At 50.5% G+C, this 21,175-nt stretch overlaps 2 annotated features.

The window, feature by feature from the left end:
* Positions 767–3,006: a silencer, noted in NCBI's record as "fragment used in the pLS_Prom_SHH_2026 reporter constructs". NCBI's record gives its function as "represses a minimal SHH promoter by reporter assays in Caco-2 colon adenocarcinoma cells {active_cell/tissue: Caco-2}" and the evidence as "EXISTENCE:reporter gene assay evidence [ECO:0000049][PMID:25782671]".
* Positions 20,932–21,091: an enhancer, noted in NCBI's record as "active region_26906". NCBI's record gives its function as "activates an Ori minimal core promoter by ATAC-STARR-seq in GM12878 lymphoblastoid cells {active_cell/tissue: GM12878}" and the evidence as "EXISTENCE:reporter gene assay evidence [ECO:0000049][PMID:35858748]".

Below are 21,175 nucleotides of genomic sequence, written 5' to 3'. Positions count from 1 at the left end.
CCCGCAGGAGGAGGGGATATTCAGAGACCAGGCTGCGAGCAGCATGGACATTAGAATCAACATCTCAAGTGTTTCCAGAAAACAGCGGCTTTTAGAGGAGCTAGAAACTGCTGCCACTGAGAGTCGCCACTCACCCTTGGCCAGCACATGGGAATCCTTGCTTCTAGTCTTAGGGCAAACTTCTCTCTCTGCTACGTCCAGGATGCAATGACTAATGGCTGTGTCAGGAAAGGAGAAGTAGGAAGCAGGGAGCCCTGTTCTGCCTGGCTCCACACAGGTGAATGCAGCTGAGGAGCAGCTCCACGGCTGCCTCTGGCCATCCCTGTGGTCCAAGCAGACCACTCACTGGGGAAGCAGCAGCAATGTCTGAAGGAGGCATGGGTGCAAAGGGTATCTCTGGCTCTGTGAAGTGAGGGTAGGAGGGAAGGGGGCCTGGGGCACGACCTGGATGCTTTGACCTTTGGGCTGCCGAAAGAAGGTTGAGCGCGTGGACTTCTAGACTGGAAAGAGGGGGGACCACTAATCCTGGAGGCAGGAGCTGGGGCACAGCCACTACAACTGGCCAGAAAGGCCATGTTGACACAGGTGGGGGTGGGCCCTCACCTCTGCCACAGGTCACCATCCTTGAGTTATTTCCTGTAAGACGGCATAGAGATGGCATTTCCAGTGGTGCCCCTTACTCCACACTCCAGCTCAAGGGAACATTTTCACTGAATAATGTGTCAAGAGCCAGATTTTAAGTAAATTTCTTTCATCTTTCCTAAGTTGCGTACCCACATTAGCCTAGCAAATATATAACTGGGAAACACGCAATGTCCGTTAAAACACACACTGCTCAAACTTCATCATGCAGACATAGATACAAAATGCTCAAAATCAAAAAACCTTATGTTGTCAGATATTAAACTTATTTTGGACCTAAGATCAGGGCATTGATAAATAAATAATCCCAAGACTTTCTCCATTTTAAATAAAAAAAATTAGAAAAGGGTCTCTGCTATTTCCTCTTAACTGAAGGATTAAGAGAAAAGAAAAAAATGTATCATGAATTGGAGTAATCCAGAAGGAAGCCTTGAAGATAGAATACCTTAAGCCACATCTCCAAAACCGAGCTAAGATAGAGAACAAAAGGACATCAGGATTTGTTCTTAAAAGTAAGAGAACATGGGCCAGGCACGGTGGCTCACGCCTGTAATTCCAGCACTTTGGGAGGCCGAGGCGGGTGGATCACGAGGTCAAGAGTTTGAGACCAGCCTGGCCAATGTGGTGAAACCACGTTTCTACTAAAAATACAAAAATTAGCTGGGCATGGTGGCACACACCTGTAGTCCCAGCTACTCAGGAGGCTGAGGCAGGAGAATCGTTTGAACCCGGGAGGCAGAGGTTGCAGTGAGCCGAGATCCACCATTGCACTCCAGCCTGGGTGATGGAGTGAGACTCCATCTCAGGAAGGAAAAAAAAAAAAGTAAGAGAACATAACTTATGCCTGCTACCAAAAATACTGCTGTGTGAGTTGGAGATGGTGCTTTTGGGGTCTTGGTCACAGAACTTGCAGGAAAGGATTATTTTTCCTTTTCTTCCTTTGAAACAGTGAAGGTAAACAACCCATTGCCTTCCCACCAGCATGTTCACAAAAGGTGTGGAGTAGATGGATGAGTGGGTGGACAGATGGATGGATGGATGAATGGGTGAGTGGGTGAGTGGATGGATGGATGGATGGATGGATGGATGGATGGATGGATGAAAACACACCATCTATGCAGGAAGCTAGGCTCCAAATCTCTATGAGCTGTCTAATTATTGAGACATATGTTAAGGATAGTTCATCTTTAACTATCTTTATATATCAGTGTTCACAAACATTTTCTCAACAAGTGACAAGTGACAGGCTTTGCTGTTAAGGGGGAGTGTTTATCCAAGTCTTATGACTACATCAGGCCATAAGAACTCATTTTACAGCCCTCAGCAGATGTGCACACAAGTAAACAAGAGTTCTATCAACTCCTACCCCTACTCCATGAGTGTCTATCCCTGTACATGATTTCTACCCCTGTCCATGAATGTCTACCCCATCCATGAGTGTCCACCCCATCCATAAGTGTCCACCCCATCCATGAGTGTCCACCCCATCCATAAGTGTCCACCCCATCCATGAGTGTCCACTCCATCCATGAGTGTCCACCCCATCCATGATGTCTACCCCATCCATGATGTCTACCCCTATCCATGATGTCTACCCCTATCCATGAGTGTCCACCCCATCCATGATGTCTACCCCTATCCGTGATGTCTACCCCATCCATGAGTGTCCGCACCATCCATAAGTGTCAACCCCTACGCATGACATCTACCTTATCCATGAGTGTCCACTTATATCCATGAGGGTCCACCCCATCTGTGAGTGTGCACCCCATCTGTGAGTGTGCACCCCATCTGTGAGTGTCTACTCCTATACGTGAGGGTCCACTTCTATCCATGAGTGTCCACCCCTATTCATGGATGTCCACCCCATCCATGAGTGTCCACCCAATCCATGACTGTCCACCCCATCCATGAGTGTCCACCCCTATCCATGAGTGTCCACCCCTATCCATGAGTGTCTACCCCTATCTGTGAGTGTCCACCCCATCCATGAGTGTCCACCCCTATCCATGAGTGTCCACCCCTATCCATGAGTGTCTACCCCTATCTGTGAGTGTCCACCCCATCCATGATGTCTACCCCATCCATGAGTGTCCACCCCATCCACGAGTATTTGCCCCTATCCATGAGATGTCTTCTGGTATTTTCTATTTCATATTATTCTATTTCATTTTTCACGTAAGTGCTGGTCATGATCTACTAAGTTGATTTAAAAACCCACCAATGGTTTGCAACCCACAGTTTTAAAAGCAGTGCTGTAGAGGACACAAAAGGAAGATGCTGGATCTCCTTGTGTCGGAGGAAGGCCAGCAAGATGCCCACGAACTAATGGGCCCGAGCCTGTGTGCTCAACAGAGGTCTCCCCACTGATGTGAGAAACAGTTCTGACACCAAGAGAAGAGAAAGGGATGAGCAGAAAGGTGGATCTCAAGGCTGGATACCCACGTGGTTGATGTCTGGATGTGGGCTCTGTAAGAATGGGGCAGAGGCTCAGCCTCCCTGCCTGCACCAGCCATCCTGAAGGGCAGGCATCATTCATGCTTCCCAGGGAGAAAACTGAAGCTGAGATCAAGCACTTGACCTGCTGGAGGCAAACACCCGCTAAGCATGGCCCCCTGTCAGGCATTAGTCCTGAGCCGTGCCATGACCCAGGACAGGGAGATGGGCTGGACAGCTTTACTGGGCAGGTGACAGTATGACCAAGGTGGTACACTGGGGTTGTGAGGCTGGAGGGGGCAGTGGGATGTACAGTTTGGCCAGAGTCCTTCTCTTCAGTGCCTGTCTCACCAGAGGTGTTCGACAAACACCTGTGGATGGACAGGTGGGTGCATGGGTCGGTGGATGGATGGGTGGATGGATGAGTAGGTAGGTGGATGGGTTGTTAGAGGGATAGATGGGCAAATGGAGGGATGGAGGGATGGATGGGGAGATGAAAGGGTGGATGGAGTAATGTATGGGTAGATGGAGGGATAGATGGGTGGATGGATGGGTGGATGAAGGGGTGGATGGAGAGATGAATCGGTAGATGGAGGAATGGATGGGTGGATGGAGGGATAGATGGGTAAGTGGATGGGTGGATGGAGGGATAGATGGGTGGATGGAAGGATGGATATGTGAATGGAGGGATAGATGGGTGGATGGATGGTTGGATAGAGGGATGGAGGGATGGATGGGTAGATGGAGGAATGGACAGATAAATGGATGGATGGATGGAGGGATGGATGGATGAATGGATGGATGGATGGGTGGTGGATGAGTGGGTAGAGTGATGGGCAGATGAGTGAATGGATGGGACAGCAGAGGTTCTCCAGGGCTTGGGTGATAAGTGAGAACACAGTCCTCTGTGGCTCCCTTGCTTCAGGACTTGAAGAAGGCATTAGGAGCTCTCTCCTCCCCAGCCCCTTTCTCCACCCCCCACCAGCCTGCATCCCCACTGTCCCAAGTGGCTGCATCTTTCTCTCTGCAGCCTTTGAAGCTGAGATAGAGAGCCCTGCAGGCCTGGTGGGGCTCCCACTTCAAAGAGCCTGGCACTCTGGGATTTCCCATCCATGTGAACCCAGAGGCACTGGAGTGCTAATGGGGAAACTCCAGACCAGGATGGGGGGGCAGCAGCCCTGAGAAGAGGGGGTTCCCAGGCAACACAGGGCTCCCTGGATTGCCATGGGCCCCCTCAAAGGTGAGAGATTTTCCTGGGGGTTCAGGGGCAGAGTGGCCCCCAAAAAGACTCCCAAAGAGACGTCATCCTAGGGAGGGGGTGAAAAGACTTGGTGAGACCTTCTCCCTCCTTGCTTGCTTCATTCATTCATTCATTCATTCATTCATTCATTTATCCATTCATGTATTCAGACCTTTCCCGAGGCCGCTATCCTGGCCTCTGGACCTCTCTAGCTCTCAGCCTCCAGGACATTGGGCAAATGCCATAGTACCTCCTGAACATCCTCGGTAAGTTGGGTTTTTGTGTTTGTTTTTCAAGGACTAGCACCGTGCCAGGTGTGGCTTGTGGTGCAATTCCTTGTCCAGTATCACCTGGGCCCATGGTTCTCGGGTACATGCCAGGGCCCCCTCCAATGTGACCCCTGCAAACCTTCAGAAGCGAGGGGCCTGCGGCTGTCACACATGAGGTGCTCACCCACCTGCTCGCCTGCATGCCGCTGCAGAGTCCCAGCTCCCTCTCCAGCGGCATTTGCGGAGCCCAGGTTCACTGCGGATGGGCTTGAGGGTGAGCCCAGGGTGGGTGAGGGGAGGGCTCCAGGGAGCACCCATGCAGATCTTGTCGGCAGCACAATTCTGACGTCATGTAAGGTCTTACAGAGTGAAGGATGTTGTTGCCTTTAAGGAGCTGTTTCCTCCCCTCTGCAAGCCATGGATTCGGCATGGAGCCAAGCTGGCGGCACTGGAGTTGGAAGCCTAGTTTCTCAACCCGGCTTTCTCCCATCCTCCAGTGGGATTCAGGCACTGCTTTCCCCCGAGCCACCTTCTTTTGTCCCACCTCACAGGCTGCTTCCAGGTACCCCCTCCACACCCCCACCATCCATGGGGGAGAGGGGTCTCCAGTCCCCTCGGTATCCCTGCCTGAGCCAGTTCACACTGTGTCCAGGCCACGTGATTTCTTTTTCTTATTAAAACAAAATTTCAGAGGCTCCTGTTCAAAGCACTTCCTCTATGATGCAACGTTCTCTTCTTCAATAGGTGAAGGAGCCGGAAATGCCTCTGCCTCTGTGGGAGGTACAGCTGGCACACACTTCTTTATGGAAAGGGGGGTGCCAGGTGGCCTCCAGCCAGGCCTGGCCTGCAAGCATGGAAGGGCATGAAGGGAAGGGTGTGAGGGATTGGCCATCAGGAGAACCCTGGGGAGAAACCTGTTATTTATTTATTTATTTTTGAGACAGAGTTTTGCTGTTGTTGCCCAGGCTGGAGTGCAGTGGTGTGATCTCATCTCACTGCAACCTCTGCCTCCCAGGTTCACGTGATTCTCCTGCCTCAGCCTCTCAAGTAGCTGGGATTACAGGCGTGCACCACCACATCTAGCTAGCTAATTTTATATTTTTAGTAGAAATGGGGTTTCACCATGTTGGTCAGGCTGGTCTCAAACTCCTGACCTCAAGGGCTCCACCAGCCTTGGCCTTCCAAAGTGCTGAGATTACAGGCGTGAGCCCCCGTGCCCAGCCAAGAAACCTATTTTAAATGCATATCGACGGGATAGGAGACAGAGGGAAACAGGAACGTCTGGAGGTAAAAGACCCAAAACCAAGTGGGGGCATTCGGCTGCCCAGTCCCAGGTCTACGTGACAGCCGCCTCCTGCTGAAGGCTTCCTCGCCCACAGCAGCCCACTCAACCCCTCTGCACCCTACAGGACTTAGTATCTGAACTCCCAATCACAGCAAAATGCCTGCAGGGGCATCCTGGGCCCACCAGCCCCCAGAGCATTTTGTGAGGCCGACCCCAAGCCCACACTGTTGCTTGATGCCTACAGCTACAAGCCGGTGCTGTCATCCCTGTTTTACTGACAAGGAGACTGAGGCCAGCCAGAGAGCAGCAGAGCTGGGAGCCCCACCCAGCCTCACCCCTGAGCCAGTGCACTGACAGGGTGTCCTCACCCACACCAAGGACAGACACCGGGGTGCCCCGAGAAACGAAGGTGACTCAGACGCAGCCACTGTGGAGCCCGCGTGCAGGAAATGTTCACTATTTGTTTACATTTTGCCCTAAATGTTTGAGTCTGTCAGAAGAGTTAAGTGATTGTAATTTCCTGATGTAATGAAATGTTATGTAGCCACAGGGAGCTATGTCCACTTACCAAGTTGGCAGATTTTTTTTTTTTCTTTTTCTTTTTTTTTTTTTTTTTTGAGAGCGTCTCTCTCTGTCACCAGGCTGGAGTGCAGTGGCGTGATCTCGGCTCACTGCAACCTCCGCCTCCCAGGTTCAAGTGATTCTCCTGCCTCAGCCTCCCGAGTAGCTGGGATTACAGGCGTGCACCACCACACCCAGCTAACTTTTTTGTATTTTTAGTAGAGACGGGGTTTCACCATGTTGGCCAGGCTGGTCTTGAACTCCTGACCTTGTGATCCGCCCCCCTCGGCCTCCCAAAGTGCTGGGATTACAGGCATCAGCCACTGTGCCCAGGCAGAGAATTTTAAAAATATAAAACCCCAGTGTTAGGAAGGAGGGGAGAAACAAGCACCCCCAGAAAGTGCAACCAGAAGTATAAATTGTTCACATTCTGGAGGCCAACTGAGGATATGTACAAAAATACTTAAAGTATTCACATACAATGGCTCAACAGTTCCTTTTCTAGAAATGTATCCATAGATCCTAAAGAAACGGCCACAGTTACACTGACAAGGACGTTCACTGCAGCATCTTAACAATAGTGAGACATGGGAAATACTCCACAATAGGAAGCAGGATAAATAAATGATCACACGTGCAATGAAGTACCAGGAGGACGTTACAGTGACATAGAACACTTGATAACATGAAAATGTGAGTGATAAAACTAAATTACAAAACAACATTGTGAGATGATCTCATTTACAAATAAAATTCCTAGAATGTGCCATAAACCCAGGATAGATGGCAAGGTTAAAAATGTGTTTCTTAGTCACGGATAAGTTTTTCTTCTTTTTTGATTGTTTTAATTTTCTAACTTTTCTACAGTGAAATCATCTTATTTCTAAGTAAGAAAAATGGCATTTTACATATTTTTTAAATTAAAAGTGGTTTTAATGACCTGGCGTAAAACCTTTTATCAGACACATAAATATGAAGAAAAAAAAAGAGTCCAAAATACAATGATGCATGTAATCTAAACTACGCAAAACAAATGCTATATGTATATTTAACACATACCTGAACACACAGCTATCAGAAGATAATATTTCAAAATATTAATGATGATTTTCTTGGGTGCTGGGATCATGGTTGTTTGTTTTTCCTTTTCATCTTTCTGCAGTTTGTAAAGATTATGCAATGAACATTTGTTGCTTTAAAATCAGGAAGCAATTATTTCTGTTTTGTGTGTGGTAGAATATGCAGTACGTAACATAAAACTGTGTCCACCGTTTTTAAATGTCCGTCACAGTGGCACTAAGCACATCACACTGTCGTGCTCTCATCACCACCATCCCTCTCCAGAAATTTTCTGTCACCCCAAACCGAAACTCTGCACCCACTAAGCAAGAACTCCCCTTTCCCCTCCTGCTGTCCGTGGTAACTACCTTTCTTCCACCTGTCTCTCTGCATTTGACTACTCTAGGGACCTCTTACACATGGACTCACACAGCATTTGCCCTTTTGTGACTGGCTTATTGCATTTATAGTAATGTCCTCAAGGTTCATCCATGTTGTAGCCTGTGTCAGAATCCCCTTCCTTTTTAAGGGTGAATAATATTCCTCTGTGTGTGTGTGTGTGAGTGAGAGACATTTTGTGTGTCCATTCTTCTGTGGGTGGACCCGTGGGTTGTTTCCACCTCTTGGCTATTGTGAACAATGCTGCTAGGCACGTGGGTGTGTTACAGACCCTGCTTTCACTTCTTCTCGGTTTATACCCCCAGTTGGAATTACTGTATTGGATGGTAATTCTGTGTTTACTGTTTGAGGAACCGCAGCTGTTCCCTTTTGTATTCTCACCAGCAATGCATGAAGTTTCCAGTCTCTCCTCAAACCTTATCAACACTTGTTATTCTCTGGTGTTTCGATCATAGCCATCTTAATAGATGTGAGTGGCAGCTCACTGTGGTTTTGATTTGCGTTTCTCCAATGACTGGTGATATTGACATCTTTTCTTGAGTTTATTGGCCGTTTGTATTTTTTGTTGTTGTTGAGAAATGCCTATTCAAGCTCTTTGCCCATTTTTAAACCGGTTCTTTGTTTTTGTTGCTGTTGTTGAGTCCCAGAGTTCTTTACATATCTTGGATATTTGTCCCTCATCAAATATATGATTTGCAAATACTTTCTGCCATCCCGTGGGTTCAAATTTATCTATTTTTTCTTGTGTTGCCTGCACTTTTGGTGTGATATCCAAGAAATTATTGCCAGGCCTAGTGTCATAAAGCTTTTTCCCTGTTTTCCTCTAACAGTTTTATACTTTTAGCTCTTACGTTTTGGTCTTCACTCCATAACAGTTTTGTTGGTTAAACCCCCTTCCTTCATTTCTGTCTGTACCTGACTTTTTTCTGTCACCAATACTTAGAAGAATGAATGGGCTAATTCCCCAGTATCTCCGAGCTTGCGAATGAAGAAGCAAGGTGTGGCTGCATTTGGTCTTGCCAGGGCTGTGGACTGTCAGACATAGCTGGGGTCCTGTCCCTCCGCCCTCACCCACAGCCCCAGGGCCACATGCTGTCACCACCCCTGGGAGTCCACCTGCATTTCCCCACAGCTGGACAGGGTCCTATTCTCTGCCTCCTCTGCCCCACACTTCAGCCTTGGTGCTTCTCTTCAGAGGTCAGTTCTAGGCATTTCACACTGAAGAGGGAGTAAAACAATGCTGGTCAGAAAGGCAGATTCTTCCTAACTCTTCACTTCTGGTTAATATGATAACATAGAGCCCATCAGAAGCTTGGGGACCTGGAGCGCTAATGGAGGTGAGCGTGGGCAGTGTGGCAGACAAGGAGGGGGGTGTCCTTGAGGCCAGAGCAGCCCAGGTGCAGGCAGAGGAGGGAAGCAAGAAGAACATGAGCACAAAGGCCCTCGCTGGCTGCCTGGCAGAGAGCACCGGACATGGCGGCGCCCACCCAAAGCCACGCCCCTACCACTGGACGTGTTGCTGTAGAAGAGGCTGCTGCCCCGGGCTTTCCAGACCCCCTGCCCTGTGGGGCGTGTGCCGGCGGGTGTGACATGGTTTGGATCTATGTCCCTGCCCCAATCTCATGTGGCGTTGTGACCCCAGTGTTGGAGGCGGGGCCTGGTGGGAGTGACTGGATCCCGGGTCGGTTTCTCCCTAGTGGTTTAGTGCCATCCCCTCGGTGCTGATCTCCCAACGGTGAGTGAGTTCTCCTGAGATCTGGCTGTTTGAAGTGTGTGGCACCTCCCGCCTCTCTCCTGCTCCTGCTCCTGCCATGTAAGGCGCCTGCTCCCACTTCGCCTTCTGCCATGATCAGAAGCTCCTTGAGGCCCTCCCCAGAGGCAGAAGACACCTTGCTTCGCATACGGCCTGGGGACCAAGAGCCAATTAAACTGCTTTTCCTTATAAGTTACCCAGTCTCAGCTATCGTTTATGGCCATGCTAGAAGGGACTAACAAAGGGAATGAGCATAGCGGTGTGCAGTGCTCCCAGCTGCATGGCTCAGAAGAGGCTGTCCCCTGCTCTACAGCACCACACAGCTATAGGAAGGAAGAAGATGGGATCCCTGAATGCCACAGGTGGCTCAGCTTCCCACTGTAGGGACACCTGCATCGTGCACTGACACAAGCAATACGTAAGTTCCCGTGGTGTCAAGCAACTGGGATTTGGAGGTTTGTGTTGTTTCCAACAGCTGCTAGCATTATCCTAATCCATAGCACAGGCCAGCAGTCACCATAGTACTGGTCAGCAGACTGTCCGCAAGGGCTGGGAAGACGGACTCCTCCTCTAAACTTCTCCAATCATGAAGACCTCAACTTTCAGGCATCACCATGAACACAAAAGCAAAATGACACATCCAACCTCAGCTGGCTGGAAAGATGGCTGAAACTAATAACTAGTGAAATCTATTAGGCTGGAAATGAGAGCGAGGAGAAATAAATCAGGCGCTAATTACGGGCTGTTCCAGGGAGTGGAGGAGCAGAGGCTTCGTGGGCAGCAGAGCCCTGCCCAGCCAGGCACCTTTGCATGGACTCTTCAATCATACCTCGGGTCTCACAGTGCTATTATCTTAATTATGCACTGAGGACTTGGAGTTTCCTTGAAATATAAATGAGCGTGTCCCATCTAACTATTAAATGCTAGAATAGTTCAACCATTTTCTCAAAACTGTTAATACTCAGAGGAAGAAAGTGCTGCCATTTCTTATTAATTCTGACTTCATTGCTTACATTGAAGCCAAGTACCTGGGCAAGGAGAGAGGGTTGTTAATTCCAAATAGTCTTTGAAAGTCACCGAGACCACTTCCAAACATCCCAGATAGAGGCTGAACGAGAATAAAATGACCCTGACTTTCAAATGCGGACTTTTCCATTTAATTATCAATCCTATTGATATGAATAATAAAGAATATGAAGAATAACAGACAGCATTTGTTAAGTATTTACTATGTGCAAAGCTCCATGCCAAGTGTCTTACACCTATTATTTAATCCTGAGCAACACCAAACATGGATTTTATTATCCGCATTTTGTGCATGAGAAACCTGAGACCCAGAGGGGTTGAATACCTTGTTCAGATTGCACAGCAGAAGCAAGATTTACACAAAGCTCTGACTCCAAAGTCTATGTTGTCAGCCAGGACCCCCAGATATCCTTAACACTTGTGGTTCTGTGGCCCACAAATAGCTCTTCCTTGAACCATAGAGATGCTGCATTAAACACAATCTAAGCAGGATTCTTTCTGCAAGATTTTTCAGAGCTTTACCATACAAATATGCATTTTGAGTCTGCGAACAGGGCCGTGCTGCCTGTCACAGATGCACTGGACTAGAAACCTTCAGTGTTTTTTTTTTTTTTTTTAGACAGTCTCGTTCTGTCACCAGGCTGGAGTGCAGTGGCACGATCTCAGCTCACTGCAACCTCCGACTCCCTGGTTCAAGTGATTCTCTTGCCTTAGCTTCCTGAGTAGCTGGGATTACAGGCACGTGCCACCACATTCAGCTAATTTTTTTTGTGTGTGTGTTTTTAGTAGAGACAGCGTTTCACCATGTTGGCCAGGATAGTCTCAAACTCCTGACCTCGTGATCCACCTGCCTCGGCCAGCCAAAGTGCTGGGATTACAGGTATGAGCCACCATGCCCAGCCTAAACCTGCAGCGTTTTCATTGCAGTCTGCATGCTGCCCACCACCAAAGGTGCAGAAGAGTGCAGGGTAGGAGAGGGCGTGCAGTCTTCACAGGGACCTGCCTGCCATGGTTCTTGGGACCCCGAAACTCAGGAGGAGCCAGAGAGCAGTGTGTGTCCCTCTGGCTGGAGCCGACTTGGCACCTCTTGGCTGAGTTCCCTGCCCAAGGAGTGGGATAGGGGTGCCGATTCTGAGCCTCCATGCTGCCTCGTACAAGGGATGTGACTCAAGCAGTTAATGAGCCCTCTTGACCCCGGCTTCCGCATCTGCAAAACACGAGTGACGCCCTGGGTCGCATGCAGGGTGGGTGTAAGGACGGATGGAGTTGATCGATGCCGGGGCCTGGGTCACCCCTTCTGCCATTCTGGAAGCAACCATGACCCTCGGGGCACCTGCTTCTGCTGCCCCCACTTTCCCGTGGGACACCTTCCTTGTGTGTTTATTTCCTCCGCTTTCAGCCCAGAGACATGGACTTCGGCAGTGCCTTGAGCCAGGGAGCAGGAGGCCAGGTTCCAATTGCTGCTTGACACTTGCTGGCCTTGAGACTGCAGCGAGGCCTTCCGAGTGCCCCTCGTGGGACCCCCGAAGTGCAGGGGGTGAGAGCCCACACTGTCCAGTGTTCCCCGGCCACTGGCATTCTGTTTCCTGAGAAGGGTTTTGAGGCTCTTCGAAGCCGATCTTCCTAGATGAGAAGAACTGGAGGTGTCTCATGACTGAGGCCTTCAACCATACACACAAATGATCGGCCTCAACAGAAGACCACGGCTGCCCTCAGGATGCACACGGGCCCCGGTGGGTGTGAAGCTTGCTGCTTCATAGCCACCCAGACACCCTCCTTCCTCCTTACTGGGGACCTCCTCTGGCTGGAGCAGCCTTTTGAGGAGGCAAATTCCTGTCTGTGGCTGGGAAGTTTGGAAGGTGGCTCATCTTCACTCACTTCCAGGTGGGGCGGATGAAGGGCTGAGAAACACTGGAGTCCAGATGAACAAAGTCTCGCTCTGGATAACGGGCGCAGCGGTCGTTACTCACCCTCGATGTTTACCTGCAGCAAGCAGTTCTGTTTCACTCAAGGATCTGGGCTCTCTGAAAGATCTGATAAACCGACTCTACGATTGTGGTAGGGACAGTGCCAAACATCAGGGTGAAAATCATGAGATTTTCCTACAGACAATTTTAACTGTTTCCATGCTCCCACCTTCCAGCAGAAAAATATAAACATCCACATGTGTGCAATTCACAGAAAGAAGGCTTTGGGCAAAATATCATTGTTCAGCTAATACCTGCAGAACCCTGTCTGTGCAGAGCCCTTGGATAAGGCTTTCCTGGGGGGGGGGGATTAATTCTTCTCAAATAATTACGGTGAGACCAGTGGCCATCCCTGAAGCCACCTGACACCTCCACCTCTGGCTTGTGCCCTCCTTGTGTTCAAAGTTCCCAACGTGTGAGCCGAGAAGAGGCCACAACTGCCTCTCAGACTTTCTTAAGGATCCTTCCCTGGCCCATCCTACCCAGCGCTCACTGTCCTCAGGCATAAAGCACAATAAAAACGCACCTTCACTGGGCCAAGTTTTAGAGAAAGTAAAGGATGCCCTGTCCTGAGGCCATGGTATAAACTAGTGACTACACAGAATCTGTCTGGTCCCAAGGATCCCCCTTCCCTGGCCCCTGCCTTCCCTAGTCCCAGCATTGCTGAGACCCCCAGTTTGCAGATACCTCTCAGTGCCTGTAACCCCACCTCAAGTCCCTGTGAGCTCAAGAAGTGGCTGGTTATTTCAGCCAACTGATCCAGTGGGAATCTGGACCAATCCCACCACCCTGTGTAGTCAAGGCAGGGTAGTGGGATTGGAATGAATTAACTCAAGGTGAATGAAAACAGATCCCAGATAGGATGCTGCTGTGAAAATATGCATGTTTGAATGCAGGCTCATGCCCCTGCTTTCCATGCTCAGCAGGTACTCTTCACATCGGTGATGTTGTTGTTTTGGGAGGGGGGAGACTGTTGATTTTTCTAATTACATAAACAAACCATGCTCCTTGCTGGGAAAAAAATGAAAAAAAAAAACCATACAAGAAAATACCTCTCCTGAATCCATCTTTAGAAAATTACTTTGATTTTTGAAAATACAAATGCTTTGCATTGTGGAAGTTCCTCTTTCCTCCTAAAGGAAAGCAGCCTGGTGGATCCGGCTTGAAATGATCCAGATTCCCAGAGGAGGCGCACAGCTTCAGTCCAGTCGCTCTGCCCAGCATCCCCACAGCTCTGCCGGCAAGGTTACAGCATGCCCAGGACGGGTGGTGTCCACGGACATGGGCAGAACAGAGCAGAGAGTTCCAAAAGGAAGTGGGAGTGCTCTGGAGTAGGGTTGCCCTGAGCCAGCTGTTGTTTCCCCAGCTTCCCCGTGGGACTCTCACCAGGAGCAAGCAGCCCTGTCCCCAGGTTCATTCCCCCAGGGCCTATCCGGAAAGTGGGTGCCCCAAGGAGTCAGTGGAGGATGCAACGACGTTGAGACCCACCAGGCAGGCCTCCTGCAGGAGGAGCGTGCCCTGTGTCTGGGGGGCCCAGGGGCTGCTGTGGCCGGGGTTCCTGTCTGGAGGCGACAACACAACGGGGGACAAGAAACAGGGAGGCCGACCCCGAGCCCTGCCTCCTGAGAAACTCTCCTGCTCTCTGTGCTGAGAAATCTTTGAGGCCTAACTTCTTACCCCAGCAAGGTGTAGGGATCCCATCGCGAGGCACACCGCCGAGGCCAGGCCACAGATAATTGCACCTGAAAGATGTGCGGGGGCTTTGACTCCGGGCATCAATGTTCCATTTGGCCGCCTGGGCGCATCCATTATTCGTGGTAATGACAACCATAACTTCTACGGGGCTTTTCATCTTCAAACCACTTTACAAATACGGTCTGTTTAATTCGAACTGCAGCTTCCCTCTCTCCATCCAAGTGCATTCGCCCTGGCTCCAGGTGCACAGGCAGGGTGCAGACCGAGCTTCTGTGGAAACCAAGCCGCATCCACCAGGCTGCTTTCCTTTAGGGGCAAAGCGGAAACTTTCACCATGCAAAGCATTTGTATTTTCAAAAATCAAAGTAATTGCCTAAAGATGGATTCAGGAGAGGTGTTTTCCTGTATTTTTTTTTTCATTTTTTTCCCAGCAAGGAGCATGGTTTATTTATGTAATTAAAAGGAAAAATCAACAGTCTCCCCACCCCCAAAACAACAACATCGCAATTGTGAAAGTACCTGCTGAATATGGAAACTATGTACGTGATCCTGCATTCAGAAATGTGTATTTTCAAAGCAGCATCCTATCTGGGAATCCATTTAACTCACCTTACTCATTCCAGTCCCACTACCCTGCCTTGACTAAACAGGCCTGTGAACAGTAATACCCACCCGTGGACTTCCGTTCTGCCATCCCAAATCCCGGAGACAGTGGGTGCTAGGTCAGCCCCTGGGTGCTGGGGAGAATGAGTGCCTCAGGAAGGTGCTGGGGTGGGGAGGGCGGTGCCAGGGGAGGGTGAGGGAGTGCAGGGGGGAGAAGGGATGGATGGAGGGTCCCTTCGCCTCCCAGGAAGGGAGGAGCTGGGCTGGGCTGGGGTGGGTTGGGCTGGGGGTACCACCCTTCCTTCCCTGCACCCATCCAGGAATCCGGAGTCTGCTCAGCCCCGCATCTCACCCCACCCATACCGTGCAGAGTGCAGGGCAGCTGCCGATGCCTTCGGCAGAGCGCCTGGCTTCCGGTGCTTAGCGTGAGAAATGTTCTTTTTGGTGATAGCATCTCGACATAAGGTGTTTTTGGAAAACGACAACACACTCATTTTCCTTTCATCATGTCTCAGTCAGGATGGCCCCGGGACTTCACGCACACGGGGGACCTTGGATCATCCGCTGTAGGATCCATACCGGCGAGCACCCCAAGAAGTCAGCGTGCCGCCTGAGGCGAGGGTCCCCAGGGACGCCCCCAGGCACCGCCAGGTGCCACCCCCGCCCTGTGATTGGACGGCAGGGGCTCTGCTGGCTGTCACTCAGCCAGGTCCTGGGAAGCCCCGATACTCAGGCTCCGGGTATGGCGGCTGCCCTGGGCCCTCTGCTCTCACTCTGCGGTTACCTCTCACCCACCGCGACATTAATCCTTCCCCAGCAAGAAGAAGAAACGCTTCCCCAAAATAAAACCGTTCACTCAGATTCAGGTCATCATCACCAAAATGCCTGTGCACTCTGCGCCCGAGGCCTGGGACACCCGGCTGCAGGCAGCCCCCCAACCCTGTCCCTGTCTGGTCTGGTACAGGTGTGTCCCCAGGCCAGTGACCTCTTACCTGCCTAGCCCACCTCAGTGGACTGGCCTTGCTTCTTCTTGCCTCTTTCCATGTTCCTGGACCAAAGCACTGAGGACCGGTCTAGATGTGGGCTCTGCCCCAAGGGAGGTGGGGCAGCCTTGGGGAGGTACCCACTTCCCAGAGCCTGGGCATGTTCCTTTGGGAGGAGAAGGGTAACAGGCAGCACCTCTGATCCCCCTGTCCCCACTGCTACGTGGTCCTACCCCTAACATGAGCTGATCCCTGGGTGTGAACACCTGGACCCTCTGCCCCACTGCCTGGGGCACGTTCCTTTCCTGGGCGGGTCCACAGCTTCACTGGGAGGGAGATGTCCTCCAGGACCACCTGGGGAAGTGGGGGCTCAGTGCACAGAGCAGGAACAGAGGCCACAGGTCTGCCTGGGTCTGGCGATCTCAGGGACTGTGGAAAGAGCCCAGCCAAGCCCCAAATCAGCATCCCAGTGAGTGGTGCCCTGGGAGCCCACGGGCGGCCCCATCGCAGGAGCTCCAGAGGCCATGGGAGCTGGTGTGTGGGAGGGGTGGTCTCCTGTCAGAGAAACTGTGGTGTGGGAAGGAGGAAAAGGAGCTGCGGTCCTGGCAGGCACAGCGCCTCCTGTGCTCCTGTCTCCCGCGGAGTAAGTGGCCATGTCCCTGTGGGAAAGGGAGAAGCTTGAGCCCCAGAGGGGCTTAGTGAAGCCAGCCGCAGGTGCCTATTGGCCTAGTGAGTGAGAGGTGGGCTGTGAGCCCGATGCAGCTGAATGTCGATGGGGGATCTCTGCTGACAGTGACCTGACCCTAGGGCACTGCCAGGGTCTCCAGGGGAGGGGCGGTCTGCACAAAGGGCCACAAGCTGGGGGCTTGAAGCAGTGGACAGTTATTCTCTCAAGCTGGAGGCAGCAGTCCTCGGTCCAGGTGCAGACAACACTGGGCTCCTGCTGGGGGTCCAAGGAGGGTCCCTCTGCCTCTCCCAGAGCTGGTGTTGCTGGCGGCCTCGGCACCTGGACTGGTAGGTGCCTCCCTCCAGCCTCCACCTCCACCCTCCATGGCCTTGTCTCCGTGTCCCCACTGTCTCCCTCTGTGAGTGCCTGTCTCCGAGGGAGCCCCTTCTTATGAGCGTGGCCAGTGTGTTAGATTAGGGCTCACCTTACTGAATTATGATCTCACCCTAATGACACCTGTGACGACCTTATTTCCAAATAAGGTCACATTCACAGATACAGAGTTATAGACATTGATTGTCCTTTGGGAGAGGACACAGTAAACCCACAACAGGCATGGAACAGAGCTCTAATCTCTGCGACGCAACAGAGCCTGGGGGCTCAGCACCAAGGGCAGAGGCAGAAAACCCAGCCAGGGGACAGCCTCTGGGGACACGATGAGAGTTCATTGCTCGGGGGACAAGCCAGGCACTGGGGCTGGGAGAAAGGCAGGCTGCTGAGGACCGGACAGGCACAGAAGCCCGCCCAGCACCTGGGCCAGTGGCAAGGCTGTCCTTCGGCGTGGGGAGCTACACACTTCAGCTGGTCATCTCTCCACCCAGGCTGGAAGGAAAGGCTGAGGCCCGGAGGAATCTGCCTGTGGGGCTAGCTGGGCTCTGCTGGGAGAGAGGTGGGAGACAAAGGCTACCAGGCTGCTACATAAGGGCTGGCCCTCAGCGCTCACGGCCATCTCATGTACAGCAAAAACAAAAGCAACCCCCCTCTTAAGGAAAAGTAGGCTCTGCCCCACGTGCTGTCCAACTGTCCTGTCGTTAGAAAGAGCATGCAGACACGGGCATGCTGTCATGAGAGTCAAGAAGGCAGGTGTTCACAAAGGCTGCGCCTGCAGCTCTTAAACCCATATGGAATAGAGGAGATGGAAAGTAAGCACCCACTGTTTAAAGGGCTTGCTTTTGAGACTAAGGGTATTTTTCCCTACATTTCTCTTCTCTTCCAAGTGGATATTGATGAATATTGTTTTATGGTGAAACATGTTTTATTTTATTTTCCTTTATTTTATCCTGCGTTTTTTTTCAGGGTCTCACTGTAGCCCAGGCTGGGGTGCAGGGGCCTGATGTAAGCTCACTGCAGCCTCAGCCTCCTGGGCTCAAGCAATCCTCTCACCTCAGCCCCTCAAGCAGCTGGGATTATGGGCAAGTGCCACCATGCATGGTTAATTTTTTATTTTTTGTAGAGAAGCGGTTTTGCCGTGTTGGCCAGGCTGGTCTTGAACTCCTGAGCTCAAGCAATCTGCCCGCCCCGGCCTCCCAAAGTGCTGGGATTACAGACATGAGCCACCACGCCTGGCCAACACGCTTTATTTTAAAATCCTCCATTAAATGAAATAATTAGAGAATAAAAAATTCCACTTCAAATAGGCAGAAACTCCTTTTGTTATGCTCTATTTGTTACAAATCTCTCTAAAACGGTGCCTGCATTTTCCTGTAGAAGGAACCTGAAAGCGTCCATGTTGGGTGTTCCCATCGCTGCTGTGAGTCCTGCTAATGCTGACCCTCAGTTACTGCTGACCAGCACTATACATAGGCCGTCGCAGAGGATGAGACCGGCTTGAGGGGCTCTGACCAAAGGGAACCCACTGGGAAGTGTTAAAATAGGACATTTCTGAAGGGCTCACTTGATGTTCTCTTAGAACAGGGCTATGAAGAAAACAGTGACTGATTGTCCCGAGGGGGTTTATTTGTCTGAGTCAAAATTGTGCTTCCTCTGCCCAAGGAAGAGCCTGGTGGGAGGAGGAGGCCCTGGCCTCACTCCCCTTCTTGTCACTAGGATGGGCAGACATGGGGCAAAGCAGCTTCATTTTTCTAGTGTTTAAAGTCTACCACTACCCACATATTGTTCATTTATGTCCATGAATCCCAGACTTAAGAAACTATTTAATTTGATCATGAATTTCTTCCAAGAAATGGCACCTTCCCACAGACCAATGTGTGTCTCTGCCAATGGAGGGGCATGGCAGCGTTTGTGGGGGAGGTGGGCTCCCTCTTGCAGAAATGCCTCGCCCCACTCCTTCTGCCAAATCTTTCCTGGGTACTCCTCTCTAAGTGTGTAAATGGAAGACATTTCTTGCTTTTTAAAGTCTGTACTATATTCATTGCTCAAACATTCTAGGGAAAATCCATTTTCTTATAACGCTAAGGAAAATTCTTAGGGTCAGTCCTGCTTAACAGAAAATGAAGGTGTTCTCTGTGTTACAAGTGAGGAAAATCAAACTTGGAGAAGTGAAAGGAAGTGTCTAGGTGACACTGTGTTGCAAACCCTCATGTAAAACAAATTCTCTGTGGTGCCAATCGGAAGTTGAGGATCATTATTTCACTGAGCAAGGAAGTGATAGTGGAGATGACGACAGCCAGAACTGAGTCTGTATACATAAGGCCGAGAGTAACTTGTTCAAATGAAAAATTAACTGTTTATTTAAAAGTAATTTAATTGCCAGCTGAAAAATTTAGTTTTCTCTCAGGAGGCACACTGGGGGTTGGGTAGGGTGACTGAGAAGTTAAAGCCTGGATGAATCTGCTTTTACTCCTGGAAATAAAATGAGTCACTCCTTTGATTTAATAAGGGAGTGGGGATTTTATAGGTAATGTGTACATAGAAGACAGCCCGAATGAAGAGAATGTCATTTGCATTTTGGCAAGGAGAAGAAGAAAAAGAACAAGGAGAAGAGGGAATTTAGAATGTGACAGTGGCTGGATGAAAGTCCTATGTTTAATTTCTGCAACTTAAAATGTTATTTACTTATGGTTTTCACCAGAGAGCAGATTTATGGATTTTTTAATCTACTTTTCTAATAATGAGCATGTATTAAGTGTATAATTTTTAAAATTCACCTTTAAAATATGCCATTTATTCAGTTAATAACTTTGGAACTTGGAAGAGAAAATGTTCTCAGTAAATTAAACCATAAAGTCTACAGATGAATCAAAATAGATATATGTAAGTTCTCTAAAGAGACAGAAGGTGTCCTGTGGCCTGCAAGATCAGTATGTGATGCAGGCAGTGCACCATGGAGGCACACATCAGTGTGTGATGGAGGCGGGTGCACCATGGAGGTGTACATCAGTGTGTAATGCAGGCGGGTGTACCGTGGAGGCACACATCAGTGTGTAATGCAGGCGGGTGCACCGTGGAGGCACACATCAGTGTGTAATGCAGGCGGGTGCACCGTGGAGGCACACATCAGTGTGTGATGCAGGCGGGTGTACCGTGGAGGCACACATCAGAGTGTGATGCAGGTGGGTGCACCGTGGAGGCGCATATCAGTGCGTGATGCAGGCGGGTGCACCGTGGAGGCACACATCAGTGTGTAATGCAGGCGGTGCACCGTGGAGGCACACATCAGTGCGTGATGCAGGCGGGTGCACCGTGGAGGCACACATCAGTGTGTGATGCAGGCGGGTGAACCGTGGAGGCACACATCAGTGTGTAATGCAGGCAGGTGCACCTTGGAGGCACACATCAGTGTGTGATGCATGCTGGCGTACCATGAAGCCACACATCACTGTGTGATGCAGGCTGGTGCACCGTGGAGGCACACATCAGTGTGTAATGCAGGCGGGTGCACTGTGGAGGCACACATCAGTGTGTAATGCAGGCGGGTGCACTGTGGAGGCACACATCAGTGTGTAATGCAGGCGGGTGCACCGTGGAGGCACACATCAGTGTGTAATGCAGGCGGTGCACCATGGAGGCACACATCAGTGTGTGATGCAGGCTGGTGCACCATGGAGGCACACATCAGTGTGTGATGCAGGCGGGTGCACCGTGGAGGCACATATCAGTGTGTGATGCAGGCTGGTGCACCGTGGAGGCATGCATCAGTTTGTAATGCAGCTGACTGCAACCTCTGCCTCCTGGGCTTAAGTGATTCTTGTGCCTCAGACTCCCAGGTAGCTGGAACTACAGGTGCAAGCCACCATGCCTGGCTAATTTTTTATATTTTAGGTAGAGATGGAATTTCACTATGTTGGCCAGGCTGGTCTCAAACTCCTGGCCTCAGGTGATCTTCCCACCTTGCTCCCAAACTGCTAGGATTACCAGTGTGAGCCACTGCACCCAGCTGTACTCTTTATCTCTAAGTAGTTTTGCCTACTTCAAAATCATGTTCTCTCCTGTGTTTTTTTTTCCTATAAACTTAATGTGGTTTGACCCTGTGCCCCACCCAAATCTCATGTTGAATTGTAATCCCCAATGTTGGGGGAGGGAACTAGTGGGAGGTGATTGGATCATGGGAGTGGATTTCCCCTTTCCGGT

This window comes from Homo sapiens, chromosome 7 (assembly GCF_000001405.40).
Source record: "Homo sapiens chromosome 7, GRCh38.p14 Primary Assembly".
Taxonomy (NCBI): Eukaryota; Metazoa; Chordata; class Mammalia; order Primates; family Hominidae; genus Homo; species Homo sapiens.
Note: the sequence above shows the minus strand (reverse complement) of the source record. Positions and strands in the feature narration are given on the sequence as shown.